The sequence below is a fragment of the Homo sapiens genome, chromosome 1, assembly GCF_000001405.40.
Source record: "Homo sapiens chromosome 1, GRCh38.p14 Primary Assembly".
Classification (NCBI taxonomy): Eukaryota; Metazoa; Chordata; class Mammalia; order Primates; family Hominidae; genus Homo; species Homo sapiens.
In genome coordinates this window covers 1,171,401-1,198,669 of record NC_000001.11, presented here as the reverse complement: position 1 = coordinate 1,198,669, position 27,269 = coordinate 1,171,401, and the positions used below count along the sequence as shown (strand labels likewise).

The 27,269-nt window shown below is 55.6% G+C and overlaps 1 protein-coding gene and 1 long non-coding RNA gene across 16 annotated transcripts, besides 4 other annotated features; one reads left to right on the top strand and one right to left on the bottom strand.

Annotated features, from left to right (window-relative positions):
- Positions 1 to 733: 733 nt before the first annotated feature.
- On the bottom strand, positions 734 to 24,790 carry TTLL10 (tubulin tyrosine ligase like 10). 15 transcript variants are annotated; one of them, XM_047416842.1, is made up of 17 exons: positions 24,744 to 24,790; positions 24,349 to 24,454; positions 24,181 to 24,246; positions 19,572 to 19,764; positions 19,337 to 19,481; positions 18,933 to 19,013; positions 18,330 to 18,636; positions 18,069 to 18,187; positions 17,810 to 17,939; positions 16,855 to 16,929; positions 16,224 to 16,309; positions 15,623 to 15,794; positions 14,579 to 14,750; positions 13,561 to 13,701; positions 1,954 to 2,070; positions 1,484 to 1,577; positions 734 to 1,232 (listed from the first exon to the last, which is right to left on the bottom strand). In XM_047416842.1, coding segments are annotated over exons 2-17 (2,310 nt in total). In that variant the 5' UTR covers positions 24,351 to 24,454; positions 24,744 to 24,790; the 3' UTR covers positions 734 to 822. The 15 variants fall into 15 exon arrangements, with proteins under 15 accessions (XP_047272798.1, XP_047272797.1, XP_047272799.1 ...); XM_047416841.1 differs by having other exon boundaries at positions 19,337 to 19,764; XM_047416843.1 differs by having other exon boundaries at positions 19,337 to 19,764; positions 24,349 to 24,440.
- Positions 6,675 to 6,875: a silencer, noted in NCBI's record as "peak5 fragment used in MPRA reporter construct". NCBI's record gives its function as "represses an SCP1 promoter by STARR-seq MPRAs in K562 erythroleukemia cells {active_cell/tissue: K562}" and the evidence as "EXISTENCE:reporter gene assay evidence [ECO:0000049][PMID:32103011]".
- Positions 19,000 to 19,499: an enhancer, noted in NCBI's record as "H3K4me1 hESC enhancer chr1:1114551-1115050 (GRCh37/hg19 assembly coordinates)". NCBI's record gives its function as "activates a minimal SCP1, AML or CMV promoter by ChIP-STARR-seq in primed H9 embryonic stem cells {active_cell/tissue: H9 hESC(primed)}" and the evidence as "EXISTENCE:reporter gene assay evidence [ECO:0000049][PMID:30033119]".
- On the top strand, positions 19,115 to 25,614 carry TTLL10-AS1 (TTLL10 antisense RNA 1). Its single transcript, NR_173246.1, has 2 exons — positions 19,115 to 19,305; positions 22,274 to 25,614. It is a non-coding gene; the product is annotated as a TTLL10 antisense RNA 1 (long non-coding RNA).
- Positions 22,555 to 23,073: an enhancer, noted in NCBI's record as "H3K27ac-H3K4me1 hESC enhancer chr1:1110977-1111495 (GRCh37/hg19 assembly coordinates)". NCBI's record gives its function as "activates a minimal SCP1, AML or CMV promoter by ChIP-STARR-seq in naive H9 embryonic stem cells {active_cell/tissue: H9 hESC(naive)}" and the evidence as "EXISTENCE:reporter gene assay evidence [ECO:0000049][PMID:30033119]".
- Positions 24,551 to 24,640: a silencer, noted in NCBI's record as "silent region_43". NCBI's record gives its function as "represses an Ori minimal core promoter by ATAC-STARR-seq in GM12878 lymphoblastoid cells {active_cell/tissue: GM12878}" and the evidence as "EXISTENCE:reporter gene assay evidence [ECO:0000049][PMID:35858748]".

Here is a 27,269-nt window from a genome sequence, read left to right as displayed (position 1 = left end):
TCAGAGGCCCCGGGACGCCAGAGCTCTCCTCGCAAACCCCCAGACCCATGGGGAACAGAACCATCAGCGGCTACACAGGGCTGACCAGGGCCTGGCCAGTGTGGGCTTAGCATGTCTTCTGTGGGACCCTCTTGTTGGGGCTAGCTGCCCTGTGCCCCTCACCCCTGGCTAAGTCCTGGGGCCACTGCAGGAAGGTTGGGGGCTCAGGGAGCTGGAGCGCCAGGCTTGGGGCTTAAAGGCCCAGGAAGGTTCTGTGCCAGGCAGGCTGGGGCGAGCTCTGTGGGTGCCCACGGCAGCAATCCTGGGCTCAAGGGGCTCCTCCTTTGGAGCTCCAGAGGGGTTCAGACCCTTCCTGGGGATGACAGGCAATGGTGGATCACCGGCCAGGCCATGGGGGCCGTGGGGTCACAGGGCGGCAGGAGGGCCCAGGTGCTGAGGGGCACAGGGTGGTGGGCGGGAGCCCAGGATGGGGCAGCCCGGGAGGGAGTATAGACCAGCCGTGGGGAACCCCCTCCCTCAGAACAGCCCCCCAGGACTGGGCCCAGCCGCGGAGACCCCCTCCCTCAGCACAGTCTCCCCAGGGACAGGGCCCAGCCATGGACTGGGGGCTAGTGGGGGCCTGGGGAAGTCCCAGGGGAGCATCTTTCAGGCCAGTGCTGGTGTGGTGGGGGTGACCCCGGTGGGCATGGGCTCAGGGGCGCTGAGGTGGCAGGACTCTGCTGCAGAGACTGTGTTTGTAGCAAAGTGGGCTTTATAGGTCCCTGAGGGCAGGCAGCACGGCTGGGGCGCGGGGCGCGGGGCGCTGGGCGCGGGTGGCTGCCCCTAGGGCCTCGCGTTCTCAGGCTCCTCGCGTTCCTCCTTGGCTGTCCCCGGGGAAGGCTCTTGCGCCGGGTGCCTGTTGCCTGTGCCCGACTGCTCCGTGCCCGGGGCCTGGGGCTCCCCATCGTGGGCGCTGTCCAGGTCGGGGCCGGGTGGCCGGGGACGCTGCGGCACCAAGGGAGGTGGCGCAGGCCTGCGGGCGCCCGGCTGGTCTGGGGCATGCGGCATGGGTGGCCCGGAGGACTTGGCCTGGCGGGTGGGCAGGGGCGGCCAGCGGCGGAGGCTGCACGAGCCCCCCAGGTGCGGCCGCGGGTCGGCCTCACCGTTGTGCAGGAGCACGAAGCGGCGCTGGGACAGCAGAGGCAACATCTTCTGGCCGCGCAGGCTCTTCCGGAAGGTCTCGAGCACCAGGTCTGGTGCGGGTGGGGGAGAGAGGGTGAGTGGGGGGCAGAGGCTGGGGCTGGAGGGGGTGGGGAGGGTGTGAGGGGTGGGACCCAGGTGAGCTGAGGTGTGGGGAAGGTTGGGGCAGGGGGCGGCGCTGCCACACAGGCCCTCGGGAGGTGGAAGAGCCCCATCTGTGGGGGTCTGAACTTGGGAAGAGGGCAGGTAGGCATTCAAGACTGGGCAGGTTGTGGGGGTGTGGGGTGGGGGCTTGGAGGCTCACCCAGGGTCTCGATGACCACACCTGGGATGACCTCCTTCAGGACCTCGCAGTTGGTGTGCAGGGCTGGGTTAGAATTCATCTCCAGCAGCCATACCTGCCCCAGACGCCAGTCAGTCCCTCCTCACCCCGAGCCCACTGGGCCAGCAGGAGGCAGAGGCCCTGGTCCTCATTCAGACAGATGGCTCTGGGAGATTGCTTCCTTCCTATAGCCTTGCTCCCCTGTTTGTCCACTGAAGCTCTGAGGGTCTGAAGCTCTGGCCTGAGGGGGCTGCTCTGAGGAGGGGGTGCAGTTCCATCCTAGCTGCACAGGGGGTGAGCCTCATGGATACACCCATCCCCAGGGCTGCATGCAGGCAGGGTGGGGGCTGACTGCAGATTCTGCCTGGGGCCTGCCAGTGTGGTCAGGGTGTACAGATGGCCCCTGCCTCCTTGCATCTGTCTACTGTGCCCCCCGCCGCCCAGGACAGCACCTTGAAGTTGTCATCAATCAGGAAGTCACAGCCAATGAGGTCAAAGTAACCCAGCTTGCAGTCCAGCTTGGGCTTGGCGGCCAGAAAGCAGTGGGCCATGATCTGCTGCATCCGCTTCTGCAGGGAGGCAGGGAGGCATCCTGGCTGCGGCCCGTAGGCCCTGATCACACCCCAGGTCTGAACAGCCACAGCCACATCCCTCACCTGCACTCCCATCTGAACCCGCACCTGTACAGCCACACCTGCCCACACGTTCGTGCACTCAGCCTCACAGGTTCACAGCCAGAAACTCACTCAACAAACTCGTGCAGCTCCTGTCCTGTGTCAGGCACTGGAGATACGAGAGTGAGGAAAACTCACAGGAAATCTCTGCCCTTGAGCAGAAGAGACGGATAGCAAATGGGATACGTAAAATCTCGAATCTTGGTAAGAACTGTGAATTATGTTGTATTTTAACGTGCTCTGGTTTCATCCTCTGCTCCCCAGCTCAATGGTTGCCTCAAAAAACCAACAGCATGCATCCCCAGAACTGGAGATAGCAAAATAGACCTCATTTATAAAAAAAAATTGTCATTATTTGTTTTCTTATGTCTAGTAGTTCCTTGGAAGATCCCATTTGAAAGGACTAACAGAAAGTGTGAGGGCCAGGCACGTGGCTCACACCTGTAGTCCCAGCAGTTTGGGAGGCTGAGGCAGGAGGATTGCTTGAGCTCAGGAGTTTGAGACCAGCCTGGCCAACATGGTGAGACCCCATCTCTACTAGAAATACACAAGTTGGTCGGGCGCGTGGCTCACACCTGTAGTCCCAGCACTTTGGGAGGCTGAGGCAGGAGGATCGCTTGAGCTCAGGAGTCTGAGATCAGCCTGGGCAATATAGGGAGACCTTGTCTCTACCAAAAAATTAGCAAAATTAGCTAAGCGTGGTGGTGTATGCCTGTAGTCCCACCTACTTGGGAGGCTGAGGTGGGAGGACTGCTTGAGCCCAAGAGGCAGAGGCTGTGGTAAGCTGAGATTGTGCCACTGCACTCTAGCCTGGGTGACACAGTGAGACTGTCTAAAAAAAAGAAGTATGGGCCGGGCACAGTGGCTCACGTCTGTAATCCCAGCACTTTGGGAAGCTGAGGTGGGTGGATCACCTGAGGTCAGGAGTTCGAGACAAGCCTTGCCAACATGGTGAAACCCTGCCTCTACTAAAACTAAAAAAAAAAAAAAAAAAGTATGACGATGATGTCTTATCAAATAATAGAGAATACTGGTGAAGAGAGAAAAATTATAAAAGAGAATCAAATAGAAATTCTGAAGTTGAAAAGTAGAACAAAAGTAGAACAAATAAAACATGCACTAGAAGTGCTCAACAGCAGATTTGAATTGTTTGCAGATAGGCCAATTGAGATTATTTAGTCTGAGGAACAGAAAGAAAAAGGAGGCCGGGTGCAGTGGCTTCACACCTGTAATCCCAGCACTTTGGGAGGCCAAGGCAGGGGGATCGCTTGAGGTCAGGAGTTTGAGACCAGCCTGGCCAACATTGTGAAACCTCGTCTCTACTAAATATACAAAAATTAGCCAGATGTGATGGTGCGTGCCTGTAGTCCCAGCTACTTGGGAGGCTGGTAGGCCGGAGGATTGCTTGAGCCCAGAAGGAGGAGGCTGCAGTGAGCTGAGATTGCACCACTGCACTCCATCTTGGGTGACAGAAACCCTGTCTCAAAACAAAAAATGAAAGAGAGAGAGAGAGGGAAGAAAAATAAAGCCTCAGAGACTTGTGGGTGGGACACTGTCAAATGGACCAACATATGCATAATGGGAGTCCCAGAAGGAGAGAAGAGAAAGGAGCAGAAACAATATTTGAAAAAATAATGGCAGAAAACTTCCCAGTTTAATGAAAAACAACCTACACATTCAAGAAGCTCAATGAACTCAAAGTAGGATAAACTCAGAGATCCACCACCTCATCAGCAAACTTCCAAAAGACAGAGAACGTCGAAATCAGCAGGAGAGAAGCCGCTCGTTATGTATGAGGCATCCACAGAAAGATGAACAGCCAGTTTCTCATTAGAGGTCGTGAGGTGGGCAGGCAGTGGGATGGCACAAATTCCCAAAAGTAAAAATACTGTTGACCAAAAATTCTACATCTAGCAAAAGCTGCTTCAAAAATGAAGGGGAGATTAAGACATTCCCAGATAAACAAAGGTAGACCCGCCCTACCGTCCTTCAGGCTGAAATGAAAAGACACTAGACAGTAACTGGAACTCACAGGAGGAAATAAAGAGCCCCAGAAAAGGTCATTGTGTAATTAAATATAAGAGACAGCATACATGTATTTTTTTGTATGTGATTGTTTTGTCCTAAAAGACAACTGTATACAACAATAATTATGAATCCATGTTGATGGACACAAATATACTGAGCTGTAATTTGTGACAACAGCATGAGAGGGGTGGGGCTGTGTAGGAGGAGTGTTTTTGTATACTTTTAGGAGCAGTGTGTTTTTGTATGCTTTTGAAATTAACTTGGTATTAATAAAAAACTGAATTGTTTATTTTAAAACATTTTTTATTTTAGAAACAGGGTCTTGTTCTGTCACCTAGGCTGGGGTAATGTGGTTTGATTGTGGCTCACTGCAGCCTTGACCTCCTGGGCTCAAGTGATCCTCCCATCTCAGCCCCCTAAATAGCTAGGAGGACTACAGGTGCACACTCCCATGCTGAGCTAATTTTGTTTTTTAGAGATGGGGTCTCACTATGTTGCCCAGGCTGCTTTCAAATGCCTGGCCTCATATGATCTTCTTGCCTCAGCCTCCCAAAGCACTGGGATTACAGGCATAAGCCACCACACTCACCCTAATTGTAGTAAATTAAGATACAATATTAATGGTAATCCTCAGGACAACCACTAAAATAACTCAAAAACATATAGTAAAATAAATGACAAGGTAATTAAAATGCTACACTAAGCCAGGCGTGGTGGCTCACGCCTGTAATCCCAGCACCCTGGGAAGCTGAGGCGGGTAGATCACCTGAGGTCAGCAGTTTGAGATCAGCCTGGCCAACATAGTGAAACCCCGTCTCTACTAAAAATACAAAAAATTAGCCGGGTGTGGTGGCATGCGCCTGTAATCCCAGCTACTAGGGAGGCTGAGGCAGGAGAATCGCTTGAATCCGGGAGGCGGGGGCTGCAGTGAGCCGAGATCACGCCACTGCACTCCAGCCTGGGCAACAAGAGCGAAACTCCGTTTCAAAAAAAAAAAGCTACACTAGAAAATATCTCTCTAAAACAATAGGAGGCAGTAATGGAGAAACTGAGGAACAAAAAAAGACAGACATAGAAAACAAATAACAAAATAGCATATGTAAATCCTACCTTATCAGTAATTATTATTATTATTATTTTTTGAGACGGAGTCTCGCTCTGTCACCCAGGCTGGAGTGCAATGGCGCAATCTTGGCTCACTGCAAGCTCCGCCTCCTGGGTTCACGCCATTCTCCTGCCTCAGCCTCCCGAGCAGCTGGGACTACAGTTGCTCACCACCACGCCTGGCTAATGTTTTGTATTTTTAGTAGAGACGGGGTTTCACCGTGTTAGCCAGGATGGTCTCAATCCCTGACCTTGTGATCCACCTGCCTTGGCCTCCCAAAGGGCTGGCATTACAGGCGTGAGCCACCGTGCCCGGCCCTTTATCAGTAATTATATTAAATGTAAGTGAATTAAACTTTCCAATTAATAGACATTGACGGAGTTTCTTAAAAAAACATGATATACCATCTACAAAAGATACTTTAGTTTCAGAGACAAAAATAGGTGGAAAGTAAAGGGATGGAAAAAGATGTACCACACACGGTAACCAAAGTAGAACTGGAGTGTCTACACTCATACCAACTGGAGTGTCTACACTCATACCAACTGGAGTGTCTACACTCATACCAACTGGAGTGTCTACACTGATATGAACAACTGGAGTGTCTACACTCATACCAACTGGAGTGTCTACACTGATATCAACTGGAGTGTCTACACTCATACCAACTGGAGTGTTTACACTGATACGAACTGGAGTGTCTACACTCATACCAACTGGAGTGTCTACACTCATACCAACTGGAGTGTCTACACTGATATCAATTGGAGTGTCTACACTGATATCAACTGGATTGTCTACACTCATACCAACTGGAGTGTCTACACTCATACCAACTGGAGTGTCTACACTGATATCAACTGGAGTGTCTACACTGATACGAACTGGAGTGTCTACACTCATACCAACTGGAGTGTCTACACTCATACCAACTGGAGTGTCTACATTCATATCAACTGGAGTGTCTACACTTATACCAACTGGAGTGTCTACACTCATATCACAGAAAATAGACTTTACACAAAAATTATTACTGCAGATTAAAGGAAAATTTTTATAACGATAAACCAAGAAGATCTAATAATCATAAACATACACACACCCAACAACAGAGCCTCGAAATATACAAAAAACTGACAGATCTGAAGGGAGAAGTAGACAACTGAATATCCCGCTTTCAATACAGAGACAGAAGATTAACGAGTAAATAGAAGACTCGAACAACATTATAAACCAAACAGACCTAACAGACATGTTGGGAGCAGGCCCCCCCCCAAAATCTGGCCATAAACTGGCCCCAAGACTGGCCATAAACAAATCTCTGCAGCACTGTGACATGTTCACAATGGCCCTAACGCCCACGCTGGGAGGTTGTGGGTTGACGGGAATGAGGGCAAGGAACACCTGGCCCGCCCAGGGCGGAAAACCGCTGAAAGGCGTTCTTAAGCCACAAACAATAGCAGGAGCGATCTGTGTCTTAAGGGCGTGTTCCTGATGCAGTTAACTAGCCCAACCTATTCCTTTAATTTGGCCCATCCCTTCGTTTCCCGTAAGGGATACTTTTAGTTAACTGAATATCTATAGAAACAATGCTATGACTGGTTTGCTGTTACTAAATATGTGGGTAAATCTCTGTTCAGGGCTGTCAGCTCTGAAGGTTGTGAGGCCCCTGATTTCCCACTTCACACCTCTGTATTTCTCTGTGTGTGTCTTTAATTCCTCTAGCGCCGCCGGGTTAGGGTCTCCCCGACCGAGCTGGTCTCGGCACAGACATCTACAGAACACTACACCCAAAAACAGGATACACCTCCTTCTCCAGTGCACATGGATATTCTCCAGGATAGACCATATGCTGGGACATAAACAAGTTTCAAGTGTTTTTTGTTTTTGTTTTTTAATGATCCACTTAATGAATAGTAAGTTTGTTGTTTTTTTAAAGATGGGGTTTTGCTGTGTTGCCCAGGCTGGACTCAAACTCCTGGGCTTAAGCAATGTTTCCATCTCAGCCTCCTGAGTAGCTGGAATTACAGGTATGTGCCAACACACCAGCTCCAATAATTTTTCAATAATTTTTAAAGGGTTGAAATTATAAAGTATGTTCTCTGACACAATGGAATGAAATTAGAAGTCAATAACAGAAGGAAAATTGGAAAAATCACAAATATGTGGAAATTAAATAACAGGCCCTTAAGCAACCAATGGGTCAAAGAAAAGCTTACAAAGGAAATTTAAAATACTTTGCAGCTGAGCATCATGGCTCACGCCTATAATCCCAGCACTTTGGCAGGCGGATCACCTGAGGTCAGGAGTTCAAGACCAGCCTGGCCAACATGGTGAAACCCCCATCTCTACTAATAATACAAACAAAATTAGCCAGGCGTGGTGGCAGGTGCCTGTAATCCCAGCTACTCGGGAGGCTGAGGCAGGAGAATCGCTTGAACCCGGGAGGCAGAGGCTGCAGTGAGCTGAGATTGCGCCATTACACTCCAGCCTAGGTGACAAGAGCGAAACTCCATCTCAAATAAAATAAAAAATAAAAATAAAAATACTTTGAGACAAATGAAAATGAAGACAACACGCAAAATCTTATGGATGCAGCAAAAGTGGTGGTCAGAGGAAAATGTATAGCACTAAGCACCTACCTTAAGCAAGAAGAAAAAACTGAAATCATAACCTAACTTTTGACCTTAAGAAATTAGAAAAAGAGAGTTTGAGACCAGCCTTGCCAGCATGGTGAAACCCCATCTCCATTAGAAATACAAAAAAATTAGCTGGGAGTGGTGGCACGTGCCCTTAGTCCCAGCTACTCGGGAAGCTGAGGCAGGAGAATCATTTGAACCCGGGAGGCAGAGGTTGCAGTGAGCTGAAATCGTGCCACTGCACTCCAGCTTGGGCGACAGAGCAAGACTCCATCTCAAAAAAAAAAAAAATTAGTAAAAGAAGAGCAAACTAAACCCAAGGCAAGTAGTAAGAAGGAAATAATAAAGATAGAGTGGAAATAAATGGAATAGAAAACAGTAGAGAAAATCAGTGAAACCAGGAGTTGGTTCATTGAAAAGATCAACAAAATTGATAAGGACTTAGAGAAACTGACCAAAAAGAAAAAAAAAAAAAGGAGAGAAGAATCAAATTACTAAAATCAGGGGAGAAAGACTTTATATTGATTAAAAGGATGACAAGGGAATACTTTGTACACTAAACAAATTAGATAACCTAGAAGAAATGGACAAATTCTTTTTTTTTTTTTTTTGAGACGGGGTCTCGCTCTGTCCCCCAGGCTGGAGTGCAGTGGTGCGATCTCGGCTCACTGCAAGCTCCGCCTCCCGGGTTCACGCGATTCTCCTGCCTCAGCCTCCCGAGTAGCTGGGACTACAGGTGCCCGCCACCACGCCCAGCTAATTTTTTGTATTTTTAGTAGAGACGGGGTTTCACCGTGTTACCCGGGATGGTCTCGATCTCCTGACCTCATGATCCACCTTCCTCGGCCTCCCAAAGTGCTGGGATTATAGGCATGAGCCACCGTGCCTGGTGAAATGGACAAATTCTTAGCAAAATAAAGCAGACTAAAGATTAGAAAATCTGGATGGACCTATAACAAGTAAAGATTGCAGCAGTATTAGTAATAATAATAATAAACTTTCCCACAGAGGAAAACCCAGGTGGCTTTACTGGTGAATTATTTCAAACAAAGAATTAACAGCAATCCTTCACAAAGACTCCAAAAATAAAAGAGGAAAGAATGCATCCTAACATGCTATGAGGCCAGGGTTACCTTAATACCACCCAGGCAAAGACATTCGAGAAAAGAACACTACAGACCAGTATTGCTTATAAGCACAGACACAAAAATCCTCATTAAAATATTAGCAAACCAAATCCAACAGCATATTTAAATTTAAATGGTTCTATACCATCATCAAGCGGGGTTTGTCATATGAAAGTTAATCAGTGCGATACAACACATTAATAGAATGAAGGGGAAATAAGACACACTCATCTCAGTGGAGACAGAAAAAGCATTTGACAGATTTCAACATCCTTCTAGGATATTAACAAAAAACACTTAACCAATTAGGAACAGAAGGGAACTTCCTCAACCTGACGAGGGCATTTATGAGAAACCCACGGCCTTCCTCCTCAGATCAGGAACAAACAAGGATGACTGCTTTTGCTACTTCTATTCAACATTGTTCTGGAAGTAGCCGGCAATATGTAAGAAAAGAAATAAAATGCATATAAATTTGAAAGGAAGAGGTAAAGCTGTTTCTATTCCAGATGACATGATCCTTATATAAAAATCTTGAAGAGTGCACACACACACGGAGCTAATAAGTGAATTCAGGAAAGTTGAAGGATACAAGATCAACACACAAAAATCAGTTTTATTTTTATACACTAGCAATGGACAATCCAAAAAGGAAATTTAAAAAATAATTCTATTCACAAGTGTCAAAATAATAAAATACCTAGAATAATATTTACCGTAGGTGACAGACTTGTATGCTGAAAACTAGAAAACATTGCTGAAAGAAATGGAAGAAGACCTAGAAAAATGGAAAGACATCCTATATTCATGGATCGGAAGACTAAATATTGTTAAGATGCCACTGCTACGTGACTTACAGATTCAATGCAATGCCTATTAAAATTTCGATGAGGCTGGGTGTGGTGGCTCACACCTGTAATCCCAGCACTTTGAGATGCTGAGGTGGGCAGATCGCCTGAGGTCAGGAGTTCGAGATCAGCCTGGCCAACACAGTGAAACCTGGTCTCTGCTAAAAATACAAAAATTAGCCGAGCGTGGTGGTGGGTGCCTGTAATCCCAGCTACTAGGGAGGCTGAGGCAGGAGAATCGCTTGAACCTGGGAGGCGAGGCTGCAGTGAGCTGAGATTGCCCCACTGCACTCCAGCCTGGGCAACAGAATGAGACTCTGTCTCAAAAAAAAAAAAAAAAAATTTCATTGGACTTTTTCCCCAGAAATGGAAAAGCCAATCTTAAAATTCATATGGAATTGTGGAATTGTAAGGGGCCCCTGAATAGCCAAAATAATCTTGAAAAAGAACAATATTGAAAGACTCACATATCCCAATTTCAGGACTTACTACAAAGCTACAGCAATCAAAACCATGTGGTACTGGCATAAAGACAGACATATACACTAATGGAATGGAACTGAGAGTCCAAAAATAAACACTTGCAGCTCTGGTCAATTGGTTTTTGATACTATGCCAGGACCATTCCATGGGGGAAAGAATAGTCTCTTCAACAAATGGTGCTGGGATAACTGGATAGCCACATGCAAGAGAATGCTGTTGGATCCCTAACTCACACCATACACAAAAATTAACTGAAAATGGATCCAAGACCTAAATATAAGAGCTAAAACTATACCATTTTAGAAAGAAACATAAGTGTAATTTTCACTCTGCTGGATTTGGCAATTTTTTTTTTTTTTTGAGATGGAGTCTTGCTCCATCACCCAGGTTGGAGTGCAGCAGTGCGATCTCCACTCACTGCAACCTCTGCCTCCCGGGTTCAAGTGATTCGCTTGCCTCAGCATCTTGAGTAGCTGGGACTACAGGTGCACGCCACCACACCCAGCTAATTTTTGTATTTTTAGTAGAGATGGGGTTTCTCCACATTGGCCAGGCTGGTCTCAAACTCCTGACCTCAGGTGATCCACCTTCCTCAGCCTCCCAAAGTGCAATGGATTTTTATTTTTTTGTTTTTTGAGATGGAGTCTTGCTCTGTTGCCCAGGCTAGAGTGCAGTGGCACGATCTTGGCTCACAGCTACCTCCACCTCCCGGGTTCAAGCAATTCTTCTTTCTCAGCCTCCCAAGTAGCTGGGACTACAAGCACCCACCACCACGCCTGGCTAATTTTCATATTTTTAGTAGAGATGGGGTTTCACCATATTGGTCAGGCTGGTCTTGAACTCCTGACCTCAGGTGATCTAACAACCATGGCCTCCCAAAGTGCTGGGATTACAGGCGTGAGTCACCGCACCTGGCACAATGGATTTTTAGATATGATACTAAAAGCATGAGTAACCAAAGGAAAAAAATGGATAAACTGGATTTCATCAAAACTAAAAGCTTTTGTGGTCAAAGGACATTATCAAGAAAGTGAAAAGACAGCCACAATATTCCAGAAAAATATTGGCAAATCATATGTCTGATAAAGGCCTAGTGTTTAGAATATGTAAAGAACTTTTGGCCGGGCGCGGTGGCTCACACCTATAATCCCAGCACTTTGGGAGGCCGAGGCGGGCAGATCACGAGGTCAGGAGATCGAGACCATCCTGGCTAACACGGTGAAACCCTGTCTCTACTAAAAATACAAAGAATTAGCCGGGCGTGGTGGCGGGCGCCTGTAGTCCCAGCTACTCGGGAGGCTGAGGCAGGAGAATGGCGTGAACCCGGGAGGCGGAGCTTGCAGTGAGCCGAGAATCACATCACTGCACTCCAGCCTGGACGACAGAGCGAGCCTCTGTCTCAAAAAAAAAAAAACAAAAAACAAACAAAAAAAACTTTCACAACTGGATGGTAAAGAACAGCCACAGCGTTTGAATAGACATTTCTCTAAAGAATATACATAGCTGGCCAGTGAACACATGAAGTTATTTGTCATTAGCAAAATGGAAATCAAACCCACAATGAGATATCCCTGCACACCGACCAGATGGTGATTCTTTAATAAAGAAAGGAAAATAACAAGTGTTGGCGAGATCTGGAGAAACTGGAAAAGTGATTCCTGGTTCCTCAGAAAGTTAAGTGTGTCACCCTGTGACCCACGACTCCATTCCTGGGTATTTTCCCAGGAGCACTGAAAATATATATTCATACAAACATTTTTGTGTGAATATTTATAGCAACATTATTCATAACAGCTCAATAATAAAACTGTGTCCACCAGCTGATGGCAAAATATGGTCCATCCATATGACGGAACGTTGTATGAAAGGGATACATGGCTGGGTGCAGTGGCTCACGCCTGTAATCCCAGCACTTTGGGAGGCTGAGGCGGGCGGGTCACCTGAGGTCAGGAGTTTGAGACCAGCCTGGCCAACACGGCAAAACCCCATCTCTACTAAAAATACAAAAATTAGCCGCGCGTGGTGGCGGGCACTTGTAGTTGCAGCTACTTGGGAGGCTGAGGCAGGAGAATTGCTTGAACCCAGGAGGTGGAGGTTGCAGTGAGCTGAGATTGTGCCACTGTACTCCAGCCTGGGCAACAGAGTGAGACTCTGTCTCAAAAAAAAAAAAAAGAAAAGAAAAGGATACGTGAACTACGTGGATGAACCCTGAAAACACCACGGTAAGAGAAAGGAGACAGGAGAGAGAGAGAAGGTCCATCAGCGGTGACCAGGAATGGCCGGCAATGTAGCTGTGATGGCTCGTTAGTAGTGTTTCTTTTTTGAGGTGATGAAATGTTCTGGAATTGGTGGTGATAATTGCACAACTTTTGAAATACTAAAAGCCACTGAACTGCACACTTTAAGATCGTGAATTTTATGTTCTGTGAATTATCGCAATTAAGAGAGAGTTTGGGAGATGTGAGGAAAGTAACTGGAGGCTCCTCTGAGCGCTGCCGTCCCAGCCACAGTGACACACGCCTGTGGGTGAGGAAGGACCATCCCTGGCTGCTGCTTCCGGGGCCTGGCCGGGGTGACCAAGACAGATAAAAGTCCTTCGGCCAAGCCCCGTTTTTATCCCAGTTTCACACCGCGCTGCTCAAGGGCCTTTGCTGCTAGGGCTGTTTGAAGTACCCCACAGGTACCCCCACAGAAAGGAACCCTGCAAAATTAGGACACTCCACCGCACATGGCCCTTAGCTAGGGAGAGTCCGGGCCTGCACGGGCAGCTGCTGCTGCTCCAGGACACCTGGCCCGGGGGCTGCTGTTGGCCCTGCCTGCCAAGTGGAGGATCTGAAAGGAACAAAGACTCTTCACATGGTGGCTGTCACTGAAGCCGAGCTGTCCCCTGACCCTACGGCGAGGCTGCCCGCGGGACTCGTGCCGACAGACCCCCGACTGGGCTTTCCGTCCGGGCCTTTGCTGGCTGCTGGGGACAGGCACTGCCAGCTAAGTGAGCAGAGACGCTGGAAGGGTTTGGTTCCACACGGTCAGGTCACACTTCAGCGCAGCCGCCCACGCACGCCACGGACATCTGTGTGCCTGGTGCCCAGCCTGACCACACACCCCCGCCCCGAGGGATCTCACTCCCAGACTGGAGGGCACAGTGGACGCACCTTGAGGGTGGTGAAGACCCAGTCCTTGGCGAGGCCCCGGGCCTTCCAGAACGTGTCACTGATGTAGCGGTTGAGGTGTTCCATGCTCCACACCGTGTGCTCCTTCAGCAGCATGTACAGAGGGCTCTTCTTCTGCATGAACTGGGGGCACACGGTGCCTGGAGACTGGCTCCCAGACTGTCCGGAGGGCCTGTCCTCACGGGGGTCCCCAAGAGAACATCCCCCTAACCTAGAAGGCTTCTGCATGAACTGGGGGCACACGGTGCCTGGAGACTGGCTCCCAGACTGTCCGGAGGGCCTGTCCTCACGGGGGTCCCCAAGAGAACATCCCCCTAACCTAGAAGGCTTCTGCATGAACTGGGGGCACACGGTGCCTGGAGACTGGCTCCCAGACTGTCCGGAGGGCCTGTCCTCACGGGGGTCCCCAAGAGAACATCCCCCTAACCTAGAAGGCCTGTTCTCTGGGGGTCCCTGAGACAGCCGCCCCTAACCTTGCTCCCCCGGCCCCACCCTGACCTGCCTGCAAAGACCCTCCCACAAAAACCTTCATCCGCTGAGACCCCCCTTCAGCCGTGAGGACCCCACAGATCTTCTCAGAAGGTCCCTACCCTGGACTCTCCCATGAAGACCCGTCCCCAGAAATCTCTGCCCACAGGGCCCCTCCTCTGACAGCCTCAGAATCCCCTCGGTTCCGACGCCCACCCGCACCCCATCCTCAGAAAACTCAGCTGCGGCTTGGGAGCCAGGCTGCACGCTGAGGGCTACAGGGCTCTGAGCCCTTTCACCAGCTAACGGGGTCCCTGCCACGCCCTTCTTCTGACGTGGCCAAAAGCGGGAGGTGAGAGGCAGTGCTCACTGCCAGCGGGGGCAGCCCAGGCTACTTCCAGGCCTGAGACACCTCCCGGCCTGGGCCACCTCCTTCTGTAGCTGCACCCCCTCTGCACCCCCTAGCAGTGAGAACCTCCTTCTAATCTCATCCCAAGGCTGCAGGGAGGGCCCTCACCCATGGCAGACTCACCTGGTTGGTCAAGTGGCCGCCGAGGTCGCTGGAATGGGGGTCGTAAAGGCTAAGGGTGAGGCGAGCATAGCCGTGGCCAAAGAAGATCATGTAGGGTGTGGTGCAGGCAATGAGCAGGTAGGAGCGCACGTCAAACTTTCTCCCGTCCACCAGCAGCGGGTTCTGGATGTACCTGGGGGCACCATGTCGGGGCTGCTGGGCTGAGCCACGGGGCCAGCCTGGCCTGCATCCCCTCACACCCCACCCCGGGCCTGTTCCATTTCCTCAGCGCCCCGCCTCTGTCCCAGGTGTGACCTCCAGGGAAAGGGGGCATTTCTGGGCCTGAATATGTCAGGGGAATTGGGAGGAAAGGCCTGGCACCCTGATGGGTGCTCCAGGGCATAACCGCAGTAGGAGCCTGGAGGGCTGCCTGGAGGAGGAGGGCATGAAGGTGGCTTTGGAGAGGAAGGGAAGGAGCGCGCCAGGCGGGCGCTAGGCAGAGGGAGCACAGCAGGCAGAGGGGGTGCGCCAGGCGGAGAGCTCGCCAGGTGGAGGGACGCGAGGGAGGAGCCGATGGAAGCTGGGGACGGCAGACGGCAGCTGTGGTCAGAGTGAGGCTCTACGAGGGCCGGGGGTGAGGTCGACAGGTCTAAACCTTCAGCCTCGTGCAGCCACGGGGCTTTCTGGAGGAAGCCTTCCCACTCAGGGAAGGAGTGGTCAGCTTGGCCATAGGCCTGAAGGCTGCAGCTGGCTGGCTGGGCCGGGGAGTAGGGGGGCTGGCAGCCGGGAGGCCACCCAGGCCAGGCCACCTGCAGGACAGAGGGGGCCCCAGCTGAAGGACAAACTGACTAACCCCTCAACCCTGGATCCTGTGTCTGTGACCCCGGCCTGGTGTGACCCCTCCCCTCTGCTGGCTACACGGGGGCCCGGCTGTGGTCTGCACAGGGGCTGGTGGTGCGGCTGCTTTCCACGACCAAGGGCTCCTCGGCGGCCCTGCTGACTGCACCAGTGGGGCCCGGGTCAGCCAGCCCAGACCCTCACCCCTCCGGGCACCCGCCGCCGCACCTCTGCACCACCCGCGCCTGAGGCCCCCGGAACGGCGTCTTGTGGTGGATGGGGTCGTCCTCCATGCTCCGGGTCTTGGCCTGCAGGGCGGCAACTTCCTCCTGGTTCCGGAGCAGGAAGATGCCTTTGCCCTGGTTGGAGGCTGTGGGCTTGCAGATCCATATCTGGGTTTCTGCAGAGAGCGCGGCCTGAGCCCCTGGCCTCGCCCCCAACCCAGCCACGCCCCTCCTAGGGCCCGACCAGGACCCTCCCCTCCAGGCTGCGACCCTCGGCCCGGCCATTCCAACCTTGGCCCTGCGCTAACCACACGCCTGGCCCCAGCTCCTGCCCGTGCCTCGACCACGCTCACCCGGACCAAGCTCCAGCCCTGGCCCCAGTGCCCTCATACCCCAACCTCCACGAAGGCCAGACCCTCCCCTTTCCAACTCCTCAGTCCCCACCCAGACCAGGCCCAGCCCTGGCCCCTTCCTGACCACCTCGTCTCGTCCCAGCCCCACGCAGCCCCTCCAGACCCAGCCCTGCCCTCATCAGCCCCCGCCTTGGTCCAGCCCTCACCCTGTCTCCCCAGGGCCAGCCTGGTGTCCGGCCAGCAGCGTCTCACCATCAAACAAGGTGAAAAAGGCCTCTCTCTCGTGTTTGAGGTCCAGGCGGTAGGTCTCTGGGAAAAACTCTTCCATTCTCAGGACCCTGCAGGGCAGGGAGGCAGGAGGATGAGCTGCTGTCCCTTCGCCCCTGGCTGGGTGGGCGGTTTGAGGCCCAGCCTGTGGCCCGGCGGGAGGGAGTGTGGGCAGTGGCACCTGGCGCCCGCGGCCGTTCTCCTTGTGGGGACTTTGCGTTTCCTGCCCCTTTGCAGCACCCCCCCAACGGGCTGTGCTGCTGGCTGCATCCTTCTGGCCGCTGACCCCCACCCGGGCCCCTCCCGCTGGCTGCTTTTTCCCTCATGGTTGCTCTCCCGGCTGGCACCGTCTCAGCCATTTGTGAGCCACCACCTCATGGCAGTGTCCTCACGGCTGGGATGGGCGGAGAGCGTGGCCTGAGCCCCTGGCCCTGCCCCAGCTCTGTGTGCACTGGGGGGTCAGCGTGGATCTCGGCCTGGCCTGGCTGAACCTCTGACTCTAGCTCGTGGTTTTCCTTTGTGTGGGACCCCCGCCCCGCTTTCTCCTTTTCAGACGACACCAGGTTTAGGTCTGAACTTCGGTCTGAAGGGCCCCTCACAGCTGGGCTGAGTCTACCTCTGTGGCCTGAGGTATCCTGGGCTTGTCCACGGGAGGTCCTCCAGGGCGGGCGCTGCTGCGTCCTTTTCCAGCCTGCAGCCCAGGGGACAGAGGGCCTGGACTGAGGGGCCAGCTCATGGTGCTTGGAGCGGGTGGGGACTGGGGGATGGGGCATGGGTGGTGAGTGGGCGGACTGTGAGTTGTGGTGGAAGGAGGTGGCTGGGTGGACGGCGGTGCCTGGGGGAAACAGCTGTGTTGCTCTAGGCTGGAAGTGGACGCTGGACATGGTGTAAAGCTGGTGTCACAGGCAACCAGGGGCGGGGGGTGCAGATGGAGGCAGCTGCGGTTGGCTGGGCGGGTGCTTGGTGCAAAAATGTCTGGGCCAAATGAAGTGAGGAGGGATAGGTGGGTCCATAGAAGGGCAGTGGGCAGGGCTGGGAGCAGGAGGACGAAGTCGCTAGGATGGATGGCCCAGACTTGGGTGAGCGATGGACGGCCTCACTCAGGGCACCCACAGGTGACGGTGGGCACGGTGTGGGATTGTGGATGGATTGGATGGATGTTTGGGGTGAAGGCAGATTGACAGGTGGGTTGTACCTGGGTGGGTCTGTGAGATGGACAGGTGGGTGGGTGTCAGGCCCAGTGGGTTGGGGACGTGTGGGATCTTCCCCGTTCAGCCACGAGGAAGAGGGTGGGTTTATGGGACAGGGGTTTGGCCCTTTAAAGGACAGGTGGAAGGTGGAGGCAGGTGCTGACGGGTGGGGGCTGGGGCCAGCCTGGGAGCCCAGGTGGCCAGGGGCAGGGGCAAGGGCAGGGGCAGGGGCTGGAGCCAGCCTGGGAGCCTGGGTGGCCAGGGGCAGGGGCAAGGGCAGGGGCGGGCGCAGGGGCAGGGGTGGGGCGGGTGCAGGGGCAGGGGCAGGGGCAGGCGTAGGGGCGGGCGCAGGGACGGGGGCAGGGGCAGGGGCAGACTCACCTGGCCTGGACCCCCCCCGGCACCTTGCTGGCCTTGCTCATGGCCCGTGCCCGTCCCCGAAGGGTGCTGAGCAGCCCGATCTTGGTGGTGAGGAGCTTGTTGTTGGGAAGCTGGTACAGCAGCTGCTCTCCTGGAGGTCAGAGGCCAGGGCTCGTGTGGAGGGAGCGCAGGACCTCGGTCCCCACCCCTCCAACCTGCCCTGTGCTCCGGCCCAGGAGGCCCCTGCAGGCTGCCCGCCTCTGGTGCCGGCTCCCGCTACCTTCCCGGAAGCTGCCGTAGCTGTCTCGGCTCTTGACCTCACACCACTTCAGCGTGTAGTCGTCCCGGCGGCTGTCATGGATGCGCTGCCAGCCCTTGCTTTTGCAGTAGGAGCTGATGCTGCGAGGGGTGGGGGCGGGGGTGACCTGGGGGCCGAGGCAAGGGGTTGGGGATGGCGGGCGGCCAGCGGAGGCCGGGCTGGGCCCCGGGAGCAGGCGGTGGGTATTCAGTGGGACCACGGGCGCCCAGGGCCGCTACTCACATTGTGGCCCCGTTGCTGCCTCCAATGTAGAAGAAGGGCCCCGGCCGGGTGCTGTGGGGCGATGGCTTCCCACCCCCCAGCAGGAGCCCCTCCAGGAGGGCAGCTGAGGGCCCGGCGGCGTTAGTGTCATCCGAGTCTGCAGGCCGGTGGCTGTTCAGGAGCCCAGGGGGTCCGGGTGTGGCAGAGGCTCTTTCTGCCCCCTCCAGGTCCGGCCCACAGTGTCCATCTGCGTCGTGGTCTGGCTGGCTTGGCTGACACCGGAGTCCCTCCTCCTGGCTGCTCCCCATTGGCCTCTCGTGGGCCGGGCCTGTGAACGGGGTGGGGTCCCACCGGGGTGGCTACGGGAGCTGCCCACTCAGCCCGGACATGGCTCAGCCAGTTTGCTCCCAGCCCATTTCTCCAATACCCTGGACAATCCCCCTGGCCCGTCTGGGGCTCAAGTTCAGCCCGAGCTCTGGCCCCACCAGGCGGCCTGGGGACTGCTTACATCTGGGGAGGGGCCGTGACCACCCTCCAGGGCCAGGCTTCCTGCCGGCAGGTTCCAGGTGGGGGTGGGGAGCTTGGAGCAGGGGGCAGGGAGGTCGCCCCTCCGACCCTCCTCACCAACAGGGCAGTGGCCTGGTGCAGGGCAGGGGCCGGGCTGTGAGGCCGGTGCTGGGTGCAGACGTGACGCAGGGATGGTCCCTGGAGGGCAGGGGTCACAATGTCCATGATGATGTCATGGGTGACCCAAGGGGCCATTGTCAGGCCGGGAGACGAGGGGCTGCCCTTCCAGGGGTGGTGCCAGCCAGGCGGAACCCTGGGCCGCGGAGCGCGACAGCTCCCCTCTGTGCCTGCAGAGCCCGGCGCCCACAGCTGGCCCCTCTCTCGGAGCAGCGGGGCATGGCCATGTGTGGATCCTGCCCCTGCCCCATGAGGCCGACTGACTTCCTTGGGTATGGGGCACCCGTCCCAGGGAGGCCTTGGCCTTGGAGAGGTAGGAGGCCACCCAGGGCTGCTCTATTCACCTGAGACTCGAGCCCGAGGCCTCTGCTGGATCCTTGGCCTCTTGCCCCTCTTGAAGCCGGCTCGGGTCCGAGTGGGTGGTCCCCGGCGGTGGATGAACCGGGTGCAGCTGTGGTCCATTGGCCGGGGGGTGCCCGGGCGAGGGCCCTGAAGGGAAGATGCCGCTCTGACCCTCCTGTGGGACCTCCGCGCGGCCCGAGGCCCCAGTGCTTGGATGGAGCAGGCAGTCAGGCCCACCCTGCCCAGGAAAGGGCGCCTCCCAGGGCCGTGGGCTTGAGCCTCTGCGTGCGGCTGGCTCCCGTCTCTGTGGCAGCTGTGGGGCCTGGCGCCGTGTGGGGGCGAGGCTGTCTCTGCACCCTGTCTCTGCCGGGCATGTCCTCCCTGGCCGGAGCGGCTCTTCAGGTGTGGCTGAGCTCGGCCTGGGTGCCGGCTGGAAGGAGGGGCAGCGTCAGGCCTGCTGGGTGGGGCGCCTGCCTGAAGAATGGAGGGTGGGAGGGCTCCTTGGCCTGAGCAGGGGTCTTCTCTGTCTCCGCTGCTGACCCCGGAGCCCAGCTGTGGGCTGTGTGCAGCCGCCTGGTACCTGCCATCAGGGTTCCTCTGCGGCCGCCCCTGGGTGCCAGGCCCGACCCCCAGGACACTGTCTCCAGCAACACCTTCCCATGTTGCAACTTAGGAATTTTCAGCCAGTTCCTCGACAGATCTTTCTACCTCTGTCTCCAGCAAACAAACCCATCTTGGGGCTGCTTGGGAGGTGAGAACTTTTTTTTTTTTTTTGAGACGGAGCTTCATTCTTGTGGCCCAGGCTGGAGTGCAATGGGGCGATCTAGGCTCACTGCAACCTCTGCCTCCCAGGTTCAAGCGATTCTCCTGCCTCAGCCTCCCAGGTAGCTGGGACTACAGGCACCCACCACCATGCCCAGCTAACTTTTTGTATTTTTAGTAGAGATGGGTTTTCTCCATGTTGGTCAGGCTGGTCTCAAACTCCCGACCTCAGGTGATCCGCCTGCCTCGGCCTCTGAAAGTGCTGGGATAACAGGTGTGAGCCACTGTGCCCGGCTTAGGTGAGGGCTTTCAAGGGTTTGAAGGAACTCGCCCAGGAGACAGGGGAGCACACGGCAGTGTTGGGCAGAGGCTGTGGGGGCTCTGAGGCTGGAGAAGGCTGGGGTAGGCCTGAGGCTCCAGGCTGGGCACAGAGCTCGGCACCAATCTCACCCGCAGGAAGCCTTTGTGTCTGCCCCTCCCTGCCCCGCCTGAGTGACAGGAGGGAAGGAGACAACGAGGAAGCCCACGGGCAGGGGAAGGTGGGGAAACTGAGGCAGCCGTCTGCACGATGACCCAGTCGGGTGGGGCCACTGGGACCCGTCCTCAGGGAGGAGCGGAACACAGGCTGGGCCCCCCACCTGTGTCTGGGAGAGCCTCACGCCCTCTTCCTAGGGTGGGCTGGGCAAGAATGGAAGAAGTCAGGAGCCCTGAGACCCCTCCCCACCCAGAACAGGAGGACTTTTGGAAGAGGCTGGACCCTGCGCAGGCACGGAGCAGGTGTGTGCGTGCAAGACTCTGCATTAAATGGGAGACCTCAGCTCCTTCTCATGGGCCCTCAGCACCCAGGATTCCTGCTGGGGAAGGGGATCCTCTAAAGTACTGACTCTCAGCCAAAGGGGCTGCCCAGGCCCAACAGGCATCATCAGAGGGACTCCCAAGTGTGAAGAAGAGTGACACAAGGACAGCCGGGCGCGGAGGCTCACGCCTGTAATCCCAGCACTGTGGGAGGCTGAGGCGGGCAGATCATGAGGTCAGGAGATTGAGACCATCCTGGCTAATATGATGAAACCTTGTCTCTACTAAAAATGCAAAAAATTAGCCGGGCATGGTGTTGGGCGCCTGTAGTCCCAGCTCCTTGAGGGGCTGAGGCAGGAGAATAGCTTGAACCTGGGAGGTGGAGCTTGCAGTGAGCTGAGATCGTGCCACTGCACTCCAGCCTGGGCGACAGAGCGAGACTCCGTCTCAAAAAAAAAAAGAATGACACACAGACACATTTACACACACACACGCACAGACACACAGCTACACACAGACACACACAGACATGTCGACACTTGCACAGATGCACAGACACACCTACACACACAGACACATGGATGCACAGACACACCTACAGACATGCACACACACACCTATAAACATGCACAGACACACCTACAGACACCTACACACAGACACGTCTACACACACACGTACACACAGACACACACACAGACACCCACACACACACACAGACACCCACACACACAGACGCTGACACACACAGACACGCAGACATGTAGACACACAGACACACAGACGCACACAGAGGAAGAGAAAAGGGGAGAAACAGGGAAACAAACCAGCCTGGAAAAGGCTGGGGTGATGGAGACAGGACCCCTCAGAGAGCCGCGTGCTTTTAAAGCAAAGGCACAGAGAATACAAAAGAGCCGGTGGGAATTAAAAATGCAACACCGGGGTTGGGATTTAAGTCAAGGAAACTGCCCAGAAGGGAACCCTGGGGATGGGACTGTGGGTGTAAATCCGAGGTGCCGCACAGCAGGGTCACCGTGGAGCCCCAGGCGAGAGGGGAGGCCCGGGGAGATACAGGCACAGAGCCGGAGGAAGGAGGTGTGGTCCTGGCCAGCCCTGGGTGCCCACCGAGGCCACTAGCAGCCCTCCAGCCTTCCTGGGGACACACAGGGCTGGAACCGGCCCAGGAGGCTCCCAGCCGGGAATTCCAGGAATTCCATACCTGGCCTACCAGGTGTGGAGGTGGGAAAAGGTGTGGAGGTGGGAAAAGGTGAGGAGACATCCGTCCCTCCGGGAAGCCTGGAAGACTCTCACAGGAGTGAGCTGTCAGGGAAAAGATGCAGCAGCTGTGAGCTTGCAGCTGACCTGATGACTGTGTGCCCCAGCCTCTCCAGCTGTACAGCGTCAGCCTCTCTCCAGCTGCACAGCGTCAGCCTCTCTCCACCTGCACAGTGTCAGCCTCTCTCCACCTGCACAGCGGCTGGGAGCAGCAGCCTCTCCACCTGCACAGCGTCAGCCTCTCTCCACCTGCACAGCGTCAGCCTCTCTCCACCTGCACAGCGGCTGGGAGCAGCAGCCTCTCCACCGGCACAGCGGCAGCCTCTCTCCACCTGCACAGCGTCAGCCTCTCTCCACCTGCACAGCGTCAGCCTCTCTCCACCTGCACAGCGGCTGGGAGCAGCAGTCTCTCCACCTGCACAGCGGCAGCCTCTCTCCACCTGCACAGCGTCAGCCTCTCCACCTGCACAGCGTCAGCCTCTCTCCACCTGCACAGTGGCTGGGAGCAGCAGCCTCTCCACCTGCACAGCGTCAGCCTCTTTCCACCTGCACAGCGTCAGCCTCTCTCCACCTGCACAGCGGCTGGGAGCAGCAGCCTCTCCACCGGCACAGCGGCAGCCTCTCTCCACCTGCACGGCAGCAGCCTCTCCACCGGCACAGCGGCAGCCTCTCTCCACCTGCACGGTGGCAGCCTCTCTCCACCTGCACAGCGGCTGGGAGCAGCAGCCTCTCCACCTGCACAACAGCAGCCTCTCTCCACCTGCACAGCAGCTGGGAGCAGCAGCCTCGCAGGGTTGCTGCAAAGATGGAGTTTCCACATGTAATGTCAGGACAGCACCCGCCACACACTGCGCAGTCTGCAGGGCTGTGGTGATGGTGACTGTGGGGGTGACGGGAGGCAGAGAGCTCAGGGACAGCTCAGGATAGGCGGGAACACAAGCACATGTGAAAAGCAAGGCGATCGCCAACTCTGAGGAAAACAAATGGGCACCACCCGGGGAGGCCGGGCAGCTCTGCCCCAAACATCATTCGTGCCGGGATGATATGGACAGGGCAGCGTGTGGAAGACAAGCCCCTTTCACCGTCCACGGGGAATTTCTGCACTGGAAGCTCCAGAAGCAGCAGCATCAGGTGCTTTTTGGAAACAGGCAGTTAGAAAGCGGAAGCACAGCACCCACCCCCCCACCCAGGAAACTGCCTCCGTCTCTTCTGCTGCAGAAGAAGCAGCAGCTGGAAGAGGCAGCCAGGTGCTGATTTCATCGTAAGCCTGAGGCCTCCTTTGGGCTTTTCTAACTTTATGTCCTTATGATGTTCACAAATAACTAAATAAGTTGTGAGCTGTTATTTCTTGTCATTGAAATTAAAGGTGTTTTTTTTTTTAATTTTTTTAGACGAAGTCTCACTCTGTCGCCCAGGCTGGAGTGCAATGGCGCAATCGCGGCTCACTGTAACCTCCGCCTCCCAGGTTCAAACAATTCTCCCGCCTCAGCCTCCTGAGTAGCTGGGATTACAGGCGCCTGCTGCCATGCCCGGCTAATTTTTGTATTTTTAGTAGAGACAGGGTTTCTCCATGTTGACCAGGCTGGTCTCAAACTCCTGACCTCGTGATCCGCCCACCTCGGCCTCCCAAAGTGCTGGGATTACAGGCGTGAGCCACCGCCCCGGACTGAAATCAAAGGTTTCTTAAGCAGCTGCCCGCTGTGTGTGTGGTGAACCCGGGGCCTGAATGCAGGTGGGACGCAGCCTCCCAAGCGCCGGGAGCCGCTGGCTCCTCACGCCTGTCGATCTAGCAAATGTGCTTTGGAGTCTCTGACGGACGCGATTCTGAATCCAGAAGGAAAGCGTCTCACTCCGAGATGCTGACTGACGTGTCCTTTATAGCGGTGGGACTTGGGAAGCCGGTGACGCCCGGTGTGGAGGACGGTTGTGACGCCCCTCGGTGGGGACACGGTGTAAAGGCGGCGTGGAAACTTGGTGCACGACCTTACAATAAATTGTAAAATAAGCGTTTTACCTGGTGAGATGAAAAGACCGGCAGGAGACGGCACCCCGGTAGGATGAACAGAAGAGACTTTTAAACCTGAAGAAATCATCCAAAAAGCGACCACATGTTAGTGTCCTGCTGCGAGTTCTCCCCCCAGAATCCAAGCTTGGCCACGTGGGGCCCTAGGAAGGTACTGACATTGTTCGAAGAGCTGGTGCCTCCCGGCCGGAGGCCGCTGTCAAAGGACGCACGACCTGTGGGCTCAAGCAGCCGTCCGTCCAGGACTTGCTCTGCGGAGGCAGACCTGGTCCCAGGCCACGGAGCTCGTCCCAGGGCTGCCCAGCCCTCCCACCCCACCGGGTACACACACCGTTCCCCGGCCTGGCCTGGACCCGAGCCTCTCGCACGGTGGCGCTGGGGTCCGGGACCCGCAGAGCAGGCTCAGCCTGGCCCCACCCTACCCGATCCCTGTCCAGTCCCCTCCCCAGCCTCCTCCTCTCCTGAGCAGCCTCCCGAGGGGACCCGCAGGCAGGGCGTAGGAGGGCGGGGCCGAGCCCACTGGACCCCAGCTGGTGGCCGCCGGCGCTTCTTACCTGCCCAGCCCACAAGGTCCTGGGAGCCTGGGCCAGGAAACAACAGTGGTGACCTGGCAACCGTCTCCTGGCAACCCCCACCCAGCCGGAACCCAGAGGTGAGCTTGGGTTTTCGGAGGATGGGGAGGGGCTGCTGAGTGGCGGGGCCAGCCCGGGAAGCCGGGCTGAGGGCTGAGGCTGGAGAAGGGCACAGCTTCATGGGCACAGCTGCCTCCCAGTCACTGCTGGGACTGCCTGAGCCTGAGCCCCAGTTGCTGCCCCTCCGCCCGGCCCTCCCAGGATGGTCCCTGAGCCGTCTCTCAGGCCCCACCCATGCTCAGCACCCCAGGACCTGGCCCGGGCCAGGCTCTGCGTGCACCCTGGTGATGTTGGCTGGATACACGGCTGCCGATCCCTGAGCATTCTCTGTGCTTCACGTGGTCGGGTCCCTGTTCTCACTCCACAGCGGACGAGGTGCCACTGTGCCCCCCTCTGCAAACAGGAACCGGGGGCTCCACAAAGTGAGTGCCCCCCAGAGGGGGACTCACATCTATCGGTCCAAACTGCACCTTTCTGTAAGCCCCTCGCTGTGTCACAGACCTCGGCCAAAGTGAAGCATTCCGCAGGGGTTTGGGCCGTGAGGAACAGCCTGCCCGACACCTGACTTGAACACTCTGCGGGGAAAAACACCGAGGAACATCACGATTACCTTCTGCGGGAACAAGGGCCAAACAAACGGCCTCATCCTGAAGCCGTGTGGCCCGGGCCGCTCCCACCCATACCTATAGGCACCCCAGCCCGTAGGCGGCAGTGGGCTCTGGCATCCAGCTGGTCCCCCACCTCTGCAGGTGTTTGCAATGTACCCGTGTTGATGTAAGGCTGCCCTTTCTCCATCTCTGTGTGTCTTTGTTTAACCCTCACATTCTCTCTTTTTTTTTTTTCAAAATACGGAGTCTCACTCTTTTGCCCAGGCTGGAGTGCAATGGTACGGTCTCGGCTCACTGCAACCTCCGCCTCCCAGGATCAAGCAATTCTCCTGCCTCAGCCTCCCGAGTAGCTGGGATTACAGGTGCCCACCACAGTGCCCAGCTAATTTTTGTATTTTTAATATTAATTTTATTTTTTATTTTTATTTTGTTTTATATTTTATATATTTATTATTTTATATATTATTTTCTATATTATTATAATTATTTTATTATTAATTTATTATTAATTTTAGAGGGTTTCATCATGTTGGCCAGGCTGCTCTTGAACTCCTGACCTCAGGTGATCCGCCCGCCTCGGCCTCCCAAAGTGCTGGGATTACAGGCGTGAGTCACTGCGCCTGGCCTGCCCTCGCCTTCTCTTTAAAACACCTAATGATACGAGGTCTGGGAGTCCTGGGCTCCTGGCATGACCCATGGCACGGTCTGATCCCCTCTGCCTCAAACTCTGAGCCTCCAGCCACGTGTCCCCTACCCATCCGTGTCCTTCAGAGCTTTGCGTGGGTCACGAGGGCCTCTGTGCTTAGGGTCCCCTTGCAGGGGGCTGGTGGTGCCCCCAAAAGACAACCACATCATAGCCCTGAAACCTCGAATGTGACCTTATTTAGAAGAAGGGGCTTTGCAGGTGGGGTTACGTCAGGATCTCTAGTGACATCACCCAGGGCAGGCCCTGAATCAATGGCCTCTGCCCCCCTGAGAGGGAGGTGGAGAGAGGAGACGCAGACGTGGGGGAGACGCCGTGGGACTGGGGGGCAGAGATGGGTGACACGGCCACAGCCACTGATGCCTGAGCTGGCAGGGGCTGGGGAGGCAGACAGGGTCCTCTCCTGGAGCCCCCAGAGGGGTGCAGCCCTGCCTGCCCTGTGGCTTTGGAGTTCTGGCCTCCAGATGCGGGCGTAAGCGTCTGTTGTTGTGCCTGCCTGTGTGGTTTTTCAGCAGCCGGGAGGAGAAGCCACCCTTTCGAGAGTGTGGTGCCCGCTCCGGAGCCGCCTCCCCGACCCACGCCGGGGCGGCAGCCTGGGGGTTCCCCGCTCTGTGTCCCTGGGGCCTGAGCTGTGGGGGAAGAAGGGGCCCCGGCTGTCCCTGGGGAGTCCCTGGAAGGAAGAGAGAGCTCTCGGAAGCGGGGCGGTGGGGGGCGTCTCCCACCGTCCTCCTGGTTCTGTCCAGCTGGGAACAGTGTCCTCGTCCCCTCCCCGCACTCCCACCTTGCGCCTGGTGCTCAAGCTTTGAGATGGTCCCGCTGGACCCTGGTGCGGAGCAGACCCAGGAGGCCCCTCTGCCCTCTGGGAGCCTCAGGTCAGGTGGCAGGTGGGGCTGGGGCAGGTCCTGGGCTGAGTGGCTGGGCCTTCGGGGAGCAGGGCCCACTTGGTGGGGGTGACGGGTGGGGGGTTCCTTCGGTGGCTGCTGTGGCTCTCCAGGCTGGGAGCAGCAGATCCGGGTTCGGAAGCTCTGACTCTGGGAAGGGGCCTACGTGTGTCCCCTCCTCCCTGAGGCTGAGGCAGGTGGCCTGACAGGAGCTGATGGGGATGGGAAGGACTCGCCCAGCTCCTCTCCAGAACTG